The sequence below is a fragment of the Homo sapiens genome, chromosome 14, assembly GCF_000001405.40.
Source record: "Homo sapiens chromosome 14, GRCh38.p14 Primary Assembly".
In the NCBI taxonomy this organism is placed as follows: domain Eukaryota; kingdom Metazoa; phylum Chordata; class Mammalia; order Primates; family Hominidae; genus Homo; species Homo sapiens.
Genome location: NC_000014.9, coordinates 24051644 through 24070064, shown reverse-complemented (window position 1 = coordinate 24070064; position 18421 = coordinate 24051644). Strand labels below are relative to the sequence as shown.

General features: G+C 58.0%; 1 protein-coding gene and 1 long non-coding RNA gene across 19 annotated transcripts, besides 4 other annotated features; one reads left to right on the top strand and one right to left on the bottom strand.

Moving 5' to 3' along the window:
• Positions 1-335: 335 nt before the first annotated feature.
• On the bottom strand, positions 336-18056 carry CARMIL3 (capping protein regulator and myosin 1 linker 3). 18 transcript variants are annotated; one of them, XM_047431880.1, is made up of 40 exons: positions 17872-18056; positions 16262-16356; positions 15927-15977; positions 15764-15823; positions 15554-15669; positions 15257-15354; positions 14929-14999; positions 14755-14828; positions 14447-14522; positions 14276-14364; positions 13672-13766; positions 13357-13443; positions 13041-13150; positions 12821-12898; positions 12186-12262; positions 12001-12105; positions 11841-11910; positions 11304-11385; positions 11079-11175; positions 10876-10930; positions 10623-10795; positions 10333-10401; positions 10002-10095; positions 9810-9908; positions 9309-9437; positions 9025-9138; positions 8393-8568; positions 7498-7585; positions 7219-7356; positions 6882-6945; positions 6532-6740; positions 5719-5822; positions 4792-5107; positions 4315-4443; positions 3601-3667; positions 3409-3498; positions 1363-1481; positions 1099-1279; positions 818-928; positions 336-689 (listed from the first exon to the last, which is right to left on the bottom strand). In XM_047431880.1, exons 1-40 carry the CDS (start codon positions 17909-17911, stop codon positions 661-663), a joined length of 4125 nt encoding a protein of 1374 aa, XP_047287836.1. In that variant the 5' UTR covers positions 17912-18056; the 3' UTR covers positions 336-660. The 18 variants fall into 18 exon arrangements, with proteins under 18 accessions (XP_047287836.1, XP_047287838.1, XP_047287839.1 ...); XM_047431882.1 differs by having other exon boundaries at positions 336-686; XM_047431883.1 differs by having other exon boundaries at positions 1099-1273.
• On the top strand, positions 1876-3281 carry LOC105370412 (uncharacterized). Its single transcript, XR_943619.2, has 2 exons — positions 1876-2969; positions 3068-3281. It is a non-coding gene; the product is annotated as an uncharacterized LOC105370412 (long non-coding RNA).
• Positions 16699-17398: an enhancer, noted in NCBI's record as "H3K4me1 hESC enhancer chr14:24521876-24522575 (GRCh37/hg19 assembly coordinates)". NCBI's record gives its function as "activates a minimal SCP1, AML or CMV promoter by ChIP-STARR-seq in naive H9 embryonic stem cells {active_cell/tissue: H9 hESC(naive)}" and the evidence as "EXISTENCE:reporter gene assay evidence [ECO:0000049][PMID:30033119]".
• Positions 17414-17583: a silencer, noted in NCBI's record as "silent region_5619". NCBI's record gives its function as "represses an Ori minimal core promoter by ATAC-STARR-seq in GM12878 lymphoblastoid cells {active_cell/tissue: GM12878}" and the evidence as "EXISTENCE:reporter gene assay evidence [ECO:0000049][PMID:35858748]".
• Positions 17604-17693: a silencer, noted in NCBI's record as "silent region_5618". NCBI's record gives its function as "represses an Ori minimal core promoter by ATAC-STARR-seq in GM12878 lymphoblastoid cells {active_cell/tissue: GM12878}" and the evidence as "EXISTENCE:reporter gene assay evidence [ECO:0000049][PMID:35858748]".
• Positions 17964-18263: a silencer, noted in NCBI's record as "silent region_5617". NCBI's record gives its function as "represses an Ori minimal core promoter by ATAC-STARR-seq in GM12878 lymphoblastoid cells {active_cell/tissue: GM12878}" and the evidence as "EXISTENCE:reporter gene assay evidence [ECO:0000049][PMID:35858748]".

The window sequence follows — 18421 nt, the reverse complement described above, 5'->3', positions numbered from 1 at the left end:
ACTGCTCCCGTGTCCCTCTGGTACACTGGGGCTTCCAATCCCATTACACCCCCAAAAGCTGGACAGACTTTGTGTTGGTTTCTGTCCTTTTGGTTCTTTCTCCAGGAAGCTCAGCCCTGACCCTGGGCATAACACCCATCTTGGCTTGGGGACTTATCAGTCCCCTTCCCTCGGCAGTTCTCTGTTTTTTTCTCCTGCTCCTCTCAGAACCCCAAGTCTATCCCTGTGGAATGTTTCTCATTTTTCTCCACTGTGGCCAAGCTCTGAGGGTTTGTGGGAAGAGAGCAGATTGTGGAGGCAGTGAATGGGGAAGATAGCAGAGACTCGAGGCAGGCGATGATTTTGTTTTTTTATTCTATACAAGAGGGGAGAGAGTCCCTGGGGATAGAGGGACAGAGATCCACCCTCCTGGGGGAGGAGATAAGCCCCCACCCAGAAGCTCTCTGCAGAGAGAGGTATCGAGGCAGGCACTGACAGCCTCCGTCTCTCCAGGTGGCTCCCTCTGTTCTAGTCCCTGCCTCCAGCTCCCCCATGCCTGGTCCTGCCGTCTTGCCCCTGTAGGACAGGGGCTGGCAGGGGGCCCTGGGGACTGGGGGTGGATAGGGGTCTGAGTCCTTGCGAGGCACATGTCGAGGGCTGAGGAGGGTGTTGTGGCAGTTGTCAGTCTGTTCCTGGCTCACTGGTTCCTGCTGGGGACAAATCCAGGGAGCCCTGTTTCCTGGGCAGGGACAGCCAGCCACCTGGTGTTGGGGCTTCGGGGGGTGTCATGTTGGACAGATAGGTGGGAAGGGGGGACCTGCCCTCTCACCACCAGCACCTGTGGGGTCAGGAGGCCGTCTTCTATCAGGTTCCAGCTTGTCACAGGACTGTGCCCGCCGTGTCCTCTTGGGCTTCAGGGGGGCAGTCCGCCGGCCTGGATCAGGGGGCCCTGAAATAACAATCAAGGCAGGCCTAACACAGGAGTGGGGCTCATGCTGGGATGCTCATCCAGGCTGTGACTCCTGGTTGTCACTCATTCCATGCTCTGGAAGAGGACCTGATGTGGACAGCAAAGTCCTAGAGGTGCCCTGAGCCCCCCACTCAGCCAGGGTGGCAGACCTTGGACTTCGGGCTCCTCTTGGTCTTGCTGTGAGCTCAGCCTCAGCCGGGGTTTGTTGACTCCTGGAGCTGCATCTCCAGCCTCAGCCTCCTCCCTGACCCCTGGCTCCTGGGGAGGCTGGCGGCCCCTGGGCACAGCCACTGGCTTGGGAGGCCATGGAGCTAGAGCGGGGTCCTGTAGCTGGCAGAGGAAGGAAGATGCTGGGTCAGTTAGTCCCTTTGCCTCATCAAAGTGCCTCCCCCACCCATCTTGCCAGCTCTCACCTTGGCATTCCTAGCTGGAAGTGTCCTCTCTGGGAAGAGGGTCCCCTCCTTCTCCTCTTCCCCATCTTGGGAGGCTGGGCTGGGACTCTGGCAGCTGTGGTTGGGGGCACTCTCTTCAGCTGGGGATGAGAGAGAGGAGAAGCTGCAGGAAAAGGCATTCTTGCATAGCTCCTGTCCCTGTCTCCTCTCTCCACTGAAGCCCTGGAGGCCAGGACTTTCTCCCTCCAAGCCCACTTGCTCCTATGTCTCTGCCTTTCATGTGCCTTTTTTTTTTCTTTTCTTTCTTTCTTTCTTTTTTTTTTTTTGGAGATGGAGTTTTGCTCTGTCACCCAGGCTGGAGTACAGTGGTGCAATCTTGGCTCACTGCAACCTCCACCTCTCGGGTTTGAGCGATTCTCCTGTCTCAGCCTCCCGAACAACTGGGACTACAGGTGCGTGCCACCACGCCCAGCTAATTTTTGTATTTTTAGTAGAGACAGGGTTTCACCGTGTTGGCCAGGATTGTCTCGATCTCTTGACCTAGTGATCCACCTACCTCGGTCTCCCAAAGTGTTGGGATTACAGGCATGAGCCACCGCACCCGGTCTTTCATATGCCTTTCTACATCCACGCTCCTTAGCCCTTGTTTCCCAGGATCATCCTGAGGCCATCACCTCTGGAGGGGACTCTGGCCTAGCTGTCCCTCTTGCAGAGCAGTGCCCAACCCCTTTCCTGCTGGGGCAGGGCCCAGGGCCTGCTGGGTCCACAGGCATGCTGCCCATCCAGGCTGCAGTGCCCTGGGGGCTCTGCCAAGGCTGCAGCCTGGCATTCCCAGAACTCTGTCTGAAAGTCTGATTTAGATGGAGGGGTGCCCTGGCACACTCATCCTCCGCCCCAGTGGCCTTTAAGCAACATGAGCCTGTGGCTCTGACACTGGAAAGTGTTGTCTGCATGTGGATCTGTGAGGTGTGTGTGCAGTGGGGCAACTGACTATTGCGGTTTCCTAAATGAAAGATGGAGCCCTACTTTGGGGCGCTTTAATTAGCCTGTGTATGGGATGGAAAAAATCAGCAAAGATGCCCCCAGTGCTGGGTTGGCCTTGGAGGAGGAGGCAAGGACACAGGCACTCCAAGTCTCAGGCTAGCCTGATTCTGCACTACAGGGGAGAGAGGGGCAGATGCAGAATGGGTGGGATAGGACAGTGGGGAGCATGTGGCTCAAGCCAGACCAGCCCGCTCAGCTCTTAGCTCTTTCCAGCCCTTACGCCCTAGCCTGGTGGTGGGAGTGAAAGAGGCTGAGGGGGTGTCTCCATCTACAGAGAGATTTTGTCTATGTCAATATTGCTGGAGGGTCATGGTCCAGGCCTTTGGCAACTGCTGGACTGAGCGAATGCTGAGCTGACCAGCTTTTCTTTAGTGGCTCCCTAAGCGGAAGGTGCTCTGAAGCCAGCAGAAAGGAAGTGTCATGCCTGGGATAATCCCCTCCCTTTTACTCCTCCGGTCATGGGGCCAGAAAGTAAATGACTTGTTTAAGGTCGCGGGTGGCTGAGAAGGACTAATACTGCAGGTTTCTGACCTCCGAGGCGAGCTCTTGCCCATGTTTGGGGCACCTTTCTGCGTGAGCTGAGGGTGAGTTGATAAACGACTTCTGGAGGAGGCTGGAATCTGAGGTGGGCCTGGCACAGCTGGTACTTGCTGGCAGTTTGACTTGCCCACCCTCTTCCCAGCAAGGTGCAGAGAGGAGCCTTGTCTACAGAGGCTGCCACTGTGCCAATGGTGACCAGAGGCTGCACCTGCCCTGGAGAATTCGCCAGAGCCATCCACAAAGCATCGCTCCTGTTTGCCAACACTGGAGAAGCCGCTTTTGTTCTGTAGAAGCTTTCTTTGGATTGGGTTGTTTGTCTCTTTTGGATATAGCTTTGTAAATATCCTTAAACATTTTCACTGTGTTGACTTCTCACTGCCCCACCTTGGCCATAAATTCCCCAGCACAGGGGCCATGGGCTTCTGTTTCTTTGGACACACCCTGGGCTTTCAGTACTGCTGCCTGAAAAGAGGCTTTCCATACCTATGTGCCATGTGGCCTCTGCTCTGCGCATGGCGCTGAAGCTTGGTTTGGTGCTTTGGGGCGGTGGTGGGGGCTTCCAGGATCCAGGCCCTGGAGTAGAGAGAGGGGATGAGAAAGAGAGGAGAAAGGGAAAAGGTAAATTTGACCCCTGAGAGAGGGGTCCAAAAGGGCTTTGAATGTGACTGTTCTTACCTGCGTCGTCTGAAGAGCGCCGTTTCTGCCAGGCCTGGGTGCTGCCCTCCTGGTCTGGGCCTGGGCCCTGAAAGAACAGTGGGTCAGGTTGTAAGAAAGTCTCCTCTGTGGCAGGACTGCAGCTGACAAAGGGCTTCTGCTCTAGCATCTCCATGTCATTCTCATGTCATTAGTCCCTAGACACTTAAAACTGTTTCCCAAAGAGTGGCACCCATACCTCCCCAGGGGCACAAGAAATGGCTTACACAAATGAGTATACTTCCATCTTTATAGTTACATATGTATTTTACATGTAGTAGAAAAAAACACGACTCATTCAAAAAGCCTGCGATTTTAAAGATAATGTCTAGGTCTAGCCTAAGTTAAAAAAAGGTGAGTTAATTTAAATAAAAATACTATGTAAGTAATAATTCAGGTAAAAATCAGTCGCAAAGGTTATAATCAAGTCACCATTGTTTGGGAAACAGAGCTCTAGAGGTAAGTATTTTTATAACCCCTCATTTTACAGTAAAGAAGGAGAGGTTTCAGGAGGTGAAGTGACCAGTCCAGGGCTCCACGGCAAGTGTGTGGTGGGGGCTGAAGAGCAGCTAACATCTTCTAATGCCAAAGCATCTGCTTTCTCTACTGAACCACCAGGGATGAGGGAGTGGGAAGGAGAGGGTGGTGGACAGATACCCTCAGGACCCACAGTTTGTTGTCCCAGGCTCCACTCACCTCTCGTTTCCCATCGAAGCTCCAACCCTTGGCTCTTTCCAACCCGGGAAGGGCAACACCGTGAACCCTTGGCTGCTGTGCTGTCCCAGGGGCTGGGCCCCCCTCCCCTGGCTCTGACCCCTCAGTGCCCTAGAACAAGGTCTCTTATTTATTAGCAGTTCCCAGTCGAAGGGGGCTCCCCAGGCTGTGAGGGAGTTGTCAGGAGGACCCCTGCCTCACTGAGTCCCTAGCCACGGGGAAGCCCTGCAGAGACCCTCTGAAGAGTCCTTCCAACGCCTGCATTCGCATATAGCACTCCCAGCATGCTCTTGGCCACTGGGTCTTAGTCCACTCTCAAGGAGAGGAGAATTGAAATGACCAATGTTCCCAAGAACCCTGGGTCCTAGCATTCTCCCATTAAGCTTGGGGTGGGGTAGGAGACTGGGTTAAGTGTGGGGCAGGAAAAGGGGAAGACACAGCACCCCCTGCCTCACTTACCATCTTCCGGCGGAAGGAAGGTCCCCGGCCCCCACCAAATCCAGGGAGGAGGCTGCTCTCCTCCTCTGGGCTCCAGCAGGGAGAGGAGTTATTGCCGAGGCTTGGGGGGTCTGGGCTAGGGGGGCTCTCCTGAGTCGGGGGAGGGGGTGGGGGTGGAGGGAGGAGGAGTCCAGTGGTAGGGGACCCCGGCCCCCTGTCCCCCTTGAAGCTCCGGGGCCGGCGAAAGTGAAACAGGCCCCGGCGCCTCTTCTTCTGGAGTGGAGGCAGCGGTGCCTCCGAGAGTCCTGGCCGCACGGTCCTCAGAGTCCGGGGGTAGCTGGGGAGAATCGGGGTAAGTTAGCAACAAATGCCAGATGCAAGCTCAATCCTGGGTCTGATAAACCTGCTTTCCTCTCATCTGGTCTCCCCTGCTGCACTGCAGCCCTTTCCACTTAGTTCTCAGGGAGATGATGCCCTTGCCTTTCCTGTCCCGTTGTAATCCTCCAGCAGCCTTTCCCGCAGACTGATGTTTCTTCCCAGGCACCTCCCCTGCAACTCCTCTCAGCTTCTCCAAGTGACCTGGCTCCTCCTGGACAGACCCTGGGCAGTCTGCAGGACAGTGACAGGGAACACTACCCCCCGGGCCTCTCACCACTAATGGGTATCCTGTCCCAGGGCTGCCCCCCACCTCCCTCTCATCCACACCTGCTCTCCAACCCCACTGTGGTGGTTCACTCTGGCCCCATTCTTCCCAGCTGTCCTGGGAAGACGCAGAGGTCATGGGCCCTGAGGGCTGGGTGGGGAAGGATGAGAATGTGGGGAAATTTCTCACAGAGACTGGCTTTGGGCACTGCTGTTATGGAGACTCCCATGGGAGCTGGGAGGACACAGCAGCCCTTCTAGGGCCTTGGGGCCTGCTGAAAATGGGAGTGTGTTTAGGCATCACACCTAGAACTTTCCTCCAGGACCCTTCGGCTGAAGAAGTCCTCCAGCCCTTCATCCAGGCGGGTGGCCATCCCATTCTCCTGACGAGTCCCAGGTGCTGGCATCTGCTGGGAGGAAAGTCCCGTGGGACATCTCATCTAGGTCAGGAAGCCCCACCTCCCATCCACTCAGAGCATTCCCCTTTGGGCTTGGACATTTATGGAAATGTAGACTTCAGTTCACCCAGTGTTTCTTTTTCTTTTTTTTTTTTTTTTTTGAGACGGAGTCTTGCTCTGTCACCCAGGCTGGAGTGCAGTGGCATGATTTTGGCTCACTGCAACCTCCGCCTCCTGGGTTCACGCAGTTCTCCTGCCTCAGCCTCCCGAGTAGCTGGGATTACAGGCAGGCGCCACCACGCCCGGCTAATTTTTGTATTTTTAGTGGAGATGGGGTTTCACCATCTTGGCCAGGATGATCTCGATCTCTTGACCTCGTGATCTGCCCGCCTCAGCCTCCCAAAGTGCTGGGATTACAGGCCTGAGCCACCATGCCCAGCTCACCTAGTGTTTCCTAAGCTTGGTGGCTCTTGGTGTTCTTGGTGGCTCTATCCTTCACCAAAATAAGAATGACACTGCCCGGCAGACAGAGCTTTCTTATCTGTGACAAGGTCTAGCTCTCATAAAAACTGGGCAATCCCTCATCTGTTCATTGGCATGCCTGGACTCCTGCCCAATCCCTCAAGGCTACTGTCTCTGGCATTTGGGTCCTAAAGGTAAAACTCCTGGCTCTGGTGTCACTGAGTGAAGGGGATCCTCTTGTGAAGCCTTAGGGACTCACACTGGGTCGACCAGGTCCTGGAGGTGTGGTCCTGGGGGGGCGGGGCCTCCCTTGTGTTTGATGCCTTAGTTTGTAACCATGAGTGGGCAGCTCAGATAGACCTTCCCAGGAGCCACTAGCTGTGGGCTGGCTGCCCCCAAGTCCTGAGAACCAGCCAGGGGGGATCCCCAGATTCCCCAGTTGGCTTTCCATGTCCTGAGGGCTCCCGCCTGCAAAGACAGCAGCATTAGAGGGACTAGCAGAGGAATGGGGAGAAAGCAGGATGGGGAGACAGAGAAAAAATCAAGGGAAAGAGGGGCTACAGAGGGCGGGAGTCTGGAGTCCATGAGAACGGAGGCTGGGAGACTCACTGATGAAGGCAGACACCGGCCGAATCTTGCGGCAGCGTTTCTGCTTTTTGATGGCCATGGTGTCCTGCAGAAATGAAGACGAGTGGCAGGGCCAGGCACCTCACCCAGAGCCATCCATTCCTCATGAAACCTTATTTGAGCCCATCCTGCCCCTCGCTCCTCAGGGGGCTGAGGCACTGGGATGAGGGAAGAGGTTGGGCTGGATTGAGATTGGAGGCAGAAGGCCAGGCACAGTGAGGTGGCCAGGGGAGTACAGATCAGTGGAAGGGGACAGTGTTGTGCAGGTTTAAGGGCAGGGCCCAGGTTATTAAGGAGGAGCAGGGAGCGGGGGGCTCACAATGTTGGTCCCAAGTTCATCATCTGTGGTCTCCTCATGGTCATGGTTCCGGCCTCGGCCCCGGGAGGACAGATCCTGCCCTTGGCCTGGGCACCCTGGTGGATCTGACAGCGTCCTTAGCTGGGTCAGGTGCCGGGCCTGGGGAAGGGCAGGTGTGAACAGAATTCCATGGAAGCTGCCCACCTCCCAGGGCCTTGAAGGGGAGGGTGATTAGGGAGACAGGATAATGTGGGGTGGAGGGCGTGCCCGAGCCAGGCCAGGCTGCAGAAGAAGCCTTACCAGGCTCTTGTGGGAATGGTAGAGCTCTTGCAGGATCTCATCCACTATGGAGCTGGTTAGGTAGGTGACGACTGAGAGCTTCACTTCACTGTGGGCACAGGTGGGGCTACTCAGAACATTAGCACCTCAGTCCCCCGCATGGCCCCTGAGGCACTCCCTCTCCCAGAAGCCTGAGAGAACGGCCAGCTGGCCTGGTCTGTCTGCCCATGGAGCGCATGTGGCTGCTGAAGGAGGCAGCCTAGCCCTTGACACTCATTTCTCCACAAATACACGTCTAGTCCCACCCCAGAGCCCCCAGCCCAACTATGTGTGGGGAAAGAGGAATTCGAGGAGAAGGAGCAAGGGGGCCCTAGGTCAGGCCCCTGGAGCCCCAGTGGAACAGAGCTAGGTAATTGGGGTGCTGAGTAACTAAACCCTGCTAGTTGCTACTGTGAGGGTAGGAAAGACCCTTCCTTGGGCCTAGCTGTTTCATAGGTATGTGTACTAGTTTTCCTTTGGTTTGGTGAGTGGTGGCACCCAGACCCAGAATGAAAGAACTCTAGGGGCAATGAAAACTGGGAGGAAGACAGTGCTTCCATGCACCCAACTCAGGTACTTTTCTTTGTCCATGCCTCCGAGGAGGCCCTGCTATCCCATTCCTGGTGTATTTGTGTGGGTATGTGTGTGTACACCTGTGTGGGCACAAACTTGGCTCCTAAACCCCAGCTCAGCACTTAGATTTCTAGGGCAAAGACCAGCCAGACCCTAAATAGCAAGGTTGCACTTGGTTAAAGATTGATCCTTGTAATGGAGATTGTGCCATTCATTATTCATTGCTGATAGCTCTCCAGTCCTAAGTCCCTAAGTGATCTGGGCCAAATCCAGCTCAGCCCCAGCCCTGCCCTTTGCCTCTCACTCCAGCTTGTTCTGAATGTCCTGTCCTGCTTGCTCCAGCAGTGCCCCTCGGATGAAGTTCCGGGGCACAGTGACACGCTCCGCCACATTGCTCAGCATCTTGTTGTGTCCCTCGGCCACCCGCATGGCCACAGGGCATAACTCCTGTGTCAGGCTGACCATGGACTCCAGGATCACCTAGTATGGGGGAAAGGGAGGCCAGAGGCCCAAGGGGGACAGGATCAGGGCTGGCACCACAGCAGAAGAGACTTTATCTATTCCAGCCCCTCCTGCTGAGACTGAGGGACCTGCCTAAGTCACAAAACTGTTAGTGGCAGAGCCTTGGACACTAAGGCTTCCCCACTTTCTGGTCAGTGCTCCTTCCACCCTACCATACAGACAGGGGCAGTCAGTCCAAGGATCCAAATCCAGAGCAGGGAGGTCAGAGTTCAGGGACCAACATCAAAGCTAGCAGAAAAAAATCCAAGCCTGATATTGCAGCAATGCCTTGGTACAGTGGGAGCGTGGGTGGTCTCAACTCTGCATGTCCTCCTGGCCCTCCAGAAGTCTCCCAGCTCTGACTTTAGCTCTGGGCTTAGGGCCTCAGTCAACACTAGGTTCCCACCATGGATTCCTCCCTCCTCCAGGACTTGCCTGCAGCTCCTTGTCCACAGCTTTGGACACCTCACTTGCTACTGATTCCAGCCTCTGCCGCACAGGCCCATCATTGGCCAGCACGTGGCCCAGCTCATAGAGGCTGGGAAACAGCTGGAGAAGGAAGGGGTTATGATTAGCAGGCCAGAACCAGGACTTGCTAGGTCTCTGGGGTCCCTGGGCTAGGAAGGCAGATGCACAGGGCAGGGCTGTCATGGCTTAGCATGGTCGGCCTTCTTGGGTTCTCCAGACTTCAGGGGAAGGGTAGCCTGTGGAGGGCTCACCGCCCGGGAGTTCTTGGCATCTTTGATGAGGTCCCGAGCGTAGAGTAGCTCATCCTGCACAGGCTCCAGGGGGCATAGTCTCAGGGCCCGCACCTCCTCCTGCACTCGTCCACACAGCCGCTGCAGCATCTGGAGCACAGTGGCAGGGGTGTCAAGGGGACCCCTGCTTCCACATCTTCGCAGGTAGGACCCCTTAGACAGTGCTACTGGTGCTGGCACCGACAGTGGTGGAGGTGATGTCTCTGGCTGGCCTGGTCCCCATTGCTACAGCCTTCTTGAATGCCCAGCTGAGCTCCCAGAGTCCTGTGCACTCCTGCTGTTCGCCCACATATGTTTGAAGCCCATATCCTGCATGTCCTCTCTTTTTGCTTCCCCACATGCTCAGTCCAGTGATAGGCACCATGCAGTGCCTCTTCATGCTCCCCCACTCAATTTTCCATCACATCACACTGTGCCCTGCATGCCCCGGGTATGCCCCGTGTCCCAGAGGGAAACGTTTACTTGCTCGGCGCTGCTGGTCACCAGGCCCTGCTGCAACCTGAAGGCCTGCTCCTGGGGGCACGTCTGGGAGTGGTTGTTCCTCACTAAGCACCATTGGATCTGGAGATGATGGGGTTGGTGGGTCAGGGCCTGGGGATGGGGGCTGCCCCCTGCCCCTTGCTGTGCCACCCTGCTTAGGACAGCACCCTGCACCTTCTGCCAGACGTCCTCGGTGCGCTCAGGCGCGCTGCGATAGGCTTGGGAGATGTCGCTCACGGGGAAGGACATGAAGCGCAGCGTGTGGTTGCTGTGGGACACAGGGGCACAGCTGGGTGGGAACAGGTGAGGATGGGAGGCCCCTGCCTCCTCTGTTGGTGAGCAGCCCTCCAGCCCCCTTGCTCATCATTTCTGTCTTCCATGGCCCTTCCTAAAATTTCTGTGCAAATAGGTCAAAGGGGCTAGGGTGGGGCAAGAGTAGTTCAGGCCTGATCCAGGCACAGGGAGGCTGGGGACTTGGATCAGGGCAGGACCATGGTCTACTCACCTCTCCAGGGCCCTTGCGATGTCCAGGAAGCCCAGGGCAGATGTATTGTTCCGATCCCATAGGATAGTTCTGGGGGGAGGGTAAGCACCAGTTTGGCACCTCTCCTCCTGGGTCCCTACTAGGGGCCAGGGACACAAACCTCTTGGGGCAATAAGGCTGACTCAGAGATGGTTCTGGGGCTGGGGGTCTTCTGGAAGCTGGGGTCCAGAGCATCAAGGAAAGCAGGGAGATTATGTACATATGGGGAGGGGCTGGGGCTCCAGGTCAGGGGGTCCCGGTGTGGGCCCCACCTGAGGGAGGAGTTTATCTGCAGGGCCTTAGACAGCATCTTGGCCCCGATGTCCTCCATGCCATTGCCGCTCAGATCCACCTTGGCCAGGCAGGTGTTGCTGCCCAGGGCATTGATGAGGATGCTGGTGCGAAGCTTCAGCCGGGAGTCTGCCACCGACAGTGACTGCAGGGACTGTGTGGGCAAGGGGCGGTTGGACCCAGTCCCCACAGCCTCCTCCGACTGCAGGTCCCCTCCCAGGCCCAGGCACTCACACAGTCCTCTTCCTGGATCAGCTGCACCAGCTTGTGGAGGATCTCCTCCAGGGTCCTGCAGGGAGGCGGGGCTCAGAGTAGGAGGGGAAGGGCTGGGGTCATGCTATTGGAGGAGGAGAGAGGTGGCCAGAGGTAATACGGTGAGCCAAGAGGATGGGTGAATGATGGGATGAGGGTCTGTGGGCATGGAAAGGGGGCCTCACTTGGCCTTGACATTGAAGTTCTTGCCCAAAAACAGGTGCTTGAGGGACTTGTTCTTGCCAAGTGCAGGCACCAGTGTCAGGAGGTCCGAGTCGAACCCTGGTGAGCAGATGGGAGAGGCCTGGCCTGGAGGCCTGAGGCTGACTGGTGTCCCATCAGGGCTGCTTCTGCATGCTCCAGGCCCCTGTTCTCCCCTGGCCCCAGGGAAGGGAGGAACCACTACTCACCATTGTCTGACAGATCCAGGCTGCCTACACAGGTGACAGCTCCCAGCTGCTCCTGCAAGGCTTGGGCTCCCGCTGAACGGAGCTGCAGGGACAAGGTGAGGTAGGGAAGGCAGGGGTTGGGGTGGGGGTAGGGCACCTTTAATGCTTAGGATATAGTAGTCACACCAGAACTCAAAGTCATGCCAGGATCTGGGTGTAAAATCAGGGAGACTCTTTCCCCACACCAGATCCTTCCCTAGAGCTGGCTTCCCTCCCTTCGGCCAGGAAGGCTGCTATTCCTAAGACAGCTTGCTCCTGCCCTCTGGTGGAAAAGTCTGGTATCTCCCACCCCAAAGCTTTAAGGGCAGAGATACTAGAGACTGAGAATGAATGGCCTCTGGAAAAGAGGCCAGACTGAGAGGGGAAAGTGGTGGTGTGGCCAGGTCAGGGGGTCGCAGAGGGTCAGCACAGAGGCTAGATGGAGCCAGGGTTTGACTTAGGTCTGAGAAATGCACATGGATCGGAGGCGGGCAGAGGGGTTGGGGACTGAGGGCTCACCTCGCAGCTGCTGAGATCCAGGTGCAGGTCACTGAGGTGACTGTTGAGGGAGAGGCCCTGAAGCAGCGCCCTGTGGGAGGGAGGTCAGCAGGCCCTCCTTTACCTCTTCCCGCTCCCCGTGGTTCCCTTGGATGCGCCCCCAACCCTGCACCCACCCGACCTGAGGGCCTCCAGGGGCAGCTTTGTGGCCGACAGATTGACGTGGCTCAGTGTGTAGGCGCTGCTGAAGAACTGCTTGAAGGCCGGCGGGGCCTCTCGACCCTTCCTGTGGAGAGACCCCTGGGGTCAGCGAGGGAGGGGGTTGGCCATGTCTTGCCCTGTCCTCCCTTCCCCCTCCTCTCCCACCTGTGGGAGCAGCTGTTGCGAGCCAGGTTGAGGTAGGTGAGGTGGGAGCAGCAGCCGTGGAGCAGGGCACCGAGAAGCTGTGGGGGGAGATATGGTGGGTCTCAGGGGAGCTGGAAGGGGGTAGGGGGTGGCAGGAAAGGACTCCCCCTCCCTCCCCATCGAGGTTCCTGGCTCTTCATTCTCTGTGGTCAGCCTGTGTGAGCTCCACTGGAGATGCCCACTCAGATTCTTGAAGTCTCTGTTTTCTCCCCTGTGGAACATGGGTCTACTCCCTGCCTGGCTTCCAGGGGCATGAAGCTGCTCACAGGCAGTGGATGTGTAAAGCCAGGGCCACCACTGACTCCTAAGGTGCCTTGTTCAAGTTAGGAAAAGCATCCATTCCCCTGGTGGAGCCAGGGTGCACAGCTGGGGAAGGGAGCAAGGGCTGGCTTTTAAGCACAGCAAGCACAAGCTTGTGACCTGGATAAAGTGCCACACAGGTATGAACTATGGACATTGCTTTATACTTCAGCTGAACCTGAAGTCATCTAGACAGCTCTGCCCGCCTGTGTACTCAGGGATAGGGGGTGAGACCGAGGCCCACTGTGGTCTTCCCCAAATCACCTCAGACTGGCTTCCCATCACCAACTCCTCACCAAGTCGATGACGCAGTCAGTTCCTGACAGGTCCAGGTGCACCAGGGCGTTGGGTTGGGCCAGGAAACTGTAGAGGGCCTGGAGTAGGAAGGAAGAGGGGTTGCAGGGGAAGGGATGATGGAGTCTCGCCACCCCCAGAGGCCATGGGGCAGAAGGCCTCCCAGCTCCTGAAGCTTAAGCATGCTTTCTGCAGGGGGCTGAGGCTGTTCTGAGGACTCACATTGGCCTCATCCGTGGCGAGGAGCCCAGGATTCTTGCTCAGGTCCAGGTATCGAAGGGAGCTGGCAAATGCTGGGTTTGCCCCGAAGGTCTGGCCGAGTGCCTGGAGCCCTGAGCACAGCGGGCACTGGGCTGGGTTGGCCCCTAGCCCCACCTCTTCCCCTCAGCACATAACTCTTCCCCTCTCCCCAAACGTGGCTCCTTTTCACTCTTCCATCCCTGAGGTGGTGTGTGAATGTGTGGGTGTACCTCTGGAGCTCAACACCCCAGGCAGCACCAGGGTAGGGTCAGAGGTCAGGGGTCCTTGGTGCGAGTACCTCGAGGGGAAATGGCAGTCTTGGCCAGGCACAGTTTGGTGAGGCCAGAGGGGAAGCAGAGGAGCTGCTGGCTCAGACTGAGAAAACCTGGGGAGTGGAGAGAGAAACGGGCCCAGTGAGGGGCAGGGCAGTGGGTGCAGGTGGCACAGAGTCAGGTTGGGGGCTCGAGTAGGGTACAGGCCTTGGGTCAAGGATGGAGGTGTCAGGGCAGGGGCTGGAATCAGGCTGGAGAGCTGCTGTTCAGACCTGGTTGGGCTCTGGGCTAGGACAGGGGTCTGCATTGGGATGGGGACAGGATTCAGGGCTGGGGCTCACCCTTGTCCTCGATGGGGTTGTGGGACAGAGTGAGGGCATGCAGCACACAGCTCCCGTTCTCCCCAAACACCCCGGCCAGCTTCTGGACAAAGTCCCTTCAGGGAAGGGGAGGAAGGATTTGTCCTGAGCTGAGCCCCAGGTCCCAGCCTCTGGGCTTCCCCTCCTCCTCTACCTGACTGCCTGGCTGGGGCTGCATGGTCAGAGGCCCCCACAACAGGGGAACAGCTCAGGGCCTGCCAGGGAGCTTGTCACCACTCCGGAGTACCTGGGGGCATTCCACACCTTAGGAAGTTGTGCTGAGACAAAGGTCAGCTTTGGGTCCTCAAGACTGGAGCAGCCCACCCTGCTTGGTAGTTAATGGAAAAAGAGGACGGGGCATGGAACATCCTGGGGAAAGGCCATGGAGCTGGGCGTCAGGAGGCTTGGGTCTGAGTTCTAGCTTGACCTCCGACTTGCTTTGTGCCCTCTTTTGGCCTTGGTCTCCTCTTCTGTAGAGAGAGGCACTGGATAAGATAGTCCAGAGGCCTGCATCATGCTCTGAGGTTCTGGGACCCTAAAACTACATCAAGGGTGCACTACTGCCCAAGGAGGAGACTGGCCTCACGTCTTAAGCCCGGCGTTGTCCAGCACCAGCTCTTCGAGGCTCCCCGACTTGCTTAGGGTATGTAGCACCTGTTCTAGCACTTCAGAGCCCTGAGGACAGAGGGGGGTCTTGTGATCAGGGGCCAAGGGGGGCACTACTTCTCCCACCTCACCAGCCCCTCCCAGTTCCTACCAGCCGCAAGTCCTTGCAGTAGAGTTTGGTGAACCACTGGTTGTAGGCCAGGGCTGCTACCATTAGGGCCAAGTCTCTGTGGGGATATGGAAGGGGGCAGGAAAGTGGTGAGCAGGTGGTTGGGTCAGAAAAGAAGAGACCAAGGATAGGGTGGTTGGGCTGGGGAAGGCCTAAATGGGTAGATGGGGATGGGATGGAGTTGGGGAGATAGAGCTGGGGCTGTGGGACCAGAAGGGCACTCCTGGGAAGGGCTGGGGTTGGGCTGAATTTGGGAATTTGAGGGTGGAGTCTCTGCCCCATCTGCTTACCGGCTCTCCAAGTGGCTGAAATCCAAAAGATTGAACTCCCGGTTATCTTCAGCATGGTAGATGGTGTCCACATCCTTGGAGAGGTGGAACTGGCTCACACCTGCTCCCCACTTCCTTCTTAGCCCCTTCCCTCCAGGTCCCACCTGTTCCCTATGGGGTCCCTGCCCAACATACCCATTGAACCTCCTCACGGCAGTGTAGCCCATTGTAGTCACACAGAGCAGCGTAGGTCTCAGAGAAGCCACCTGTGGGGCAGGAGATAGGCTGATTCCATGAGGGTAAGGAGATGGGGAATAGGCTTGGGGTTCAAGAACAGTCAAGGTCACTTTATGTGCCAGTGCTCTTGGTTCTTGCTATGCCATGAACTTCCTGAGGTCTGGGAGCTGGGAGTCCTTCAGGCAGGCAAAGCCCGCCCGCCCAGGCAACACCCTGTGCACAAAGGGCTCTGATCATGGGGCAAGATGGTGGAGCGCCTACTTTCCTCACATCTGCCCCTGCTCACCGCAGACACTGTGGGTGGTAGATGTGGAAGTCTCAGAGTTGGGGGATGTATCTCGGGGCCCCTCTGGGGTGTCTGCGTTTCCACGCCGGATCAAACACCTGGAAAAGAAACAAGTCATTCCAGAGAGGGCTGGAAAGAGGCTCTCAGTTCTTCCCACGTTATAGCTCCTGCATCCCAGGAAAAACCAGGAGTGGGGACATGAGAGCTCTCCTTCTCAGCCCTGGCCCAGGGGAAGGAGGAAGGGATGAACTCTCCCTCTCATCTAATGCCTTAAGAGACCCCTTATTTGCCACTCACCCAGGGCCAGGGCAGACCTTGGACAGGGCAGAGCTCACATGTCGTGTCACCTGGTCCACACTTTCAGCTGATGGCAGTCGCATGCTCACCATGCCACGCTCCGTCTCCACCAGGATCTGGGGGAGACGAAGCGTCAGAGCCTCAGACTCCCTCCTCTCTGCTCCCTCCTCCAGCTGGCCCAGTAGTGGGGCCCAAAGCCCTGGTACTCACCTGATTCTGACTGAGCGTGTTGAAGGCACGGATCTCCAGGACATTGAAGGAGCTCTCCACCTAGGAGGGATGGAGATGCTCAGCTCCTGGTAAGGACCTGGGTTGCCAGGCTTGGGAGGTAGGGAGCATGCCAGGTGCTCTCCTGCTCCTCAGCCCAACTCACCTTGGCCGGGACTTTAAGGAGGAAGAGGTGGAGGCGCCAGGAGGTCAGGGCCTACAGAGAGAGGAAAAAATCGGCAGCTCATGGCAGCTGCTGGGCCTTGGTGGCCCTGCCCTCCTTAAGCCCTTCAGCTCTGCTCTTGGAGTGTCTCCCCAACCCGATGCCCTACCCTAGACTTCTGGACATCAACACAGTCCAGCCCTGCCTCCTCCCCCCAGGTTTTGTCTCCTCAGTGTCCACCCACTTCTGTCTCTTCTGTCCTCCCGGCTCCCTGCCCTCTACTGGCCAGCTGCCCTTGCCAGCCACCTCCTCCCTCCCCACATGCCCAGTGCCCTCACCAGCACTCGGTCCTCAAACTTCTTGGGCTTTGTCTCCAACTTCACATGATGTTGTTGGAGCACGGCCCCTTGGCTCAGGCACCTCCGGATGCTGTCTGAGGGGGGGTGGGAGCCTGCTCAGAGCTTCACCTTACCCTGGCCACCCCCACCTCCCAGAGCTCTCCAGATAGAGGCAGGGTCAGGGTCAAATGGGATAAGAGAGAAACAGAGAGACAAAGAAGGGAGGACAGGGACAGAGGGCATTCCTTCTTGGGTGACTTTTCACACTGTCTCTTTTTTGACTTTTCTCTTCCTATTAGAGAGGGAGTAGGGTGTGGAGAAAACTCCGGCTCCTGATGTCCCTGAGTCAGGGGACGGTTGCTGACTGTCTGTGGGAGGGTGTGTCTCACACTTCTGAGGGTGTGAAGAATTTTTCCAACCCATGCACTACAACAGCCATTGACACATACAAAGTGAGTCACTGTGTGGGGGTGTGGGGTGTCCCTTTGACTATATTCTAGGTGGTCCGGGTGTGAGTGTCTGCCTTTACTATGAGAGTGTGCATGCCTCCTGGAGATGTCAGGGAGCCTGAGTGTGGCATTGGTGGGGACAGGTAAGTGTGAATGAGTATGCTGTGGAAGGGGCACAGAGCCAGACACTTCCTCTGTGTGTGTTGGGCGGGGAGAAGAATTAATGTTTAAATGAGCCCCATACCCATCTGCTGGCAGAACCACCCAGATATAGTGTGTGTGTGTGTGTGTGCACGCGCGTGTGCTGGGGTGCCATCTCTGTGAAGATGTGTTTACACACGTCTAATGATTGTGCTGTGTGTGTGTGCAGGTGTGGGAGATTGCCACGGCGCAGCATGCCTCTGAGTATCCACGAGCATCCTGCGCTTTGCGTGGGCTAGCCTGTGCTCCCGTCTCTGGGGGTCAGGGTTGTGGCAGTGCTGGGTGGCCGGGCCTGGGTTTGGGCTAGGTCTGAGAACCATGCAAACGGGAGAAGCCTTGATGTGTGGGTGGTGGGTAGCGAGAAGGAAGCAGGCTGGGACGGGGCTGTGGGAGGCGAGCCTCAGAGACCCTCCTGCTCTTGGTTTTAGCTCCAATCCAGGGCCTCTTCCCTGACTCCTTTCTTTGCCCCACTGGCCTGGGCGCTGCCCAGCTCCTAAGGGGCTCTTCAGGGCCAGTTCCGGGGCGGGGCCGGGAGGAGGGAGGGTGTTAAGCCACGCAGCGGTCAGGACCAGGGGCAGCTCCCATCGCAGGGAGGGGCGGGCTTGGCCCCGCCCGGCGGGGAAGCGGGGACTCTCCGGATGGGAGACTGGACGCTTCGCCGAGGGTGGGCTAGGAACGCCGAGAGTCAGCCCCAGGGAGCGCCAGGGAACTGCACCTGTCACCGAAGGGCGGGACGGGCGGCTCCGGGACAGGAAGGTCCCGACCGGGTGAGGCGAGGCAGGCAGCGGAGGATGCTCCGGGGACAGCGATGCCCGGACTGGAATGCAGGGGCTGCCTTGGAGCCAGGATGCATGGGGTGAGGGGTGTGAGACACCGGGCTGGGATGCACCACGGGGAGGAACGCGCTGGGTCTGGGATGCTCCCGGACGGGGCGTCCCAGAGACCGAGGCAGCCTCGTACCTTGCAACTCGCGGGTGAGCTCCACGCTGGGCTTGGCCATGGCGGCCGCTGCTGCTGAGGCTGCTGCAGAGGAGCCGCCGCCGCCGCCGGGGAGCCGCGGCACATGCTAGACCCGGCTTCAGCAGGGCCCGGGCGCTGAGCGCTGCAGCAGCGGCCGAGCCCGCTCCGGTCAGGGGCGGCTGCTTGAGCGCTCCTCCCCCCGCCTCGGAGCGCCGGCTCCCCCGCCCAGCAGGGAGAGCTGCCGGACTGAGCATGCGCTCCGCGCTGCCGAGCCGCGTGAGACCCCGCGCGCGCTCGCGCCGACCCTTCTCGCTGGCTCCCGCGTGAGCTGGCCGGTGTGCGTCGCCCGGTGTCCGGGCCTTCGGGGCGGGGGGCAGCGTCCCCGCTTTCCATCTACTCAATCCTCGGGCCCGTGGGCAGAAGCCATTTCTTTTGTTTGTGGGCCCGGGCACCTTGCAGGGCCTTTCTCTATTCCCCACCGGCTCAGGACCCCTCCAGCTTGTCCTTGCTGACTCGGGACCTAGGGCCATGCTGGGAGAGGGCATGGCTG

Coding starts and splice junctions, on each gene's coding strand:
- CARMIL3 (XM_047431880.1), bottom strand. CDS start 17,911: ATGGCCAAGCCCAGCGTGGAGCTCACCCGCGAGTTGCAAG. Junction 14,523..14,754: donor TTCAGCCACTTGGAGAGCCG/GTAAGCAGATGG, acceptor ATATCCCCACAG/AGACTTGGCCCTAATGGTAG. Junction 13,151..13,356: donor GACTGCCATTTCCCCTCGAG/GTACTCGCACCA, acceptor CGCTGTGCTCAG/GGCTCCAGGCACTCGGCCAG.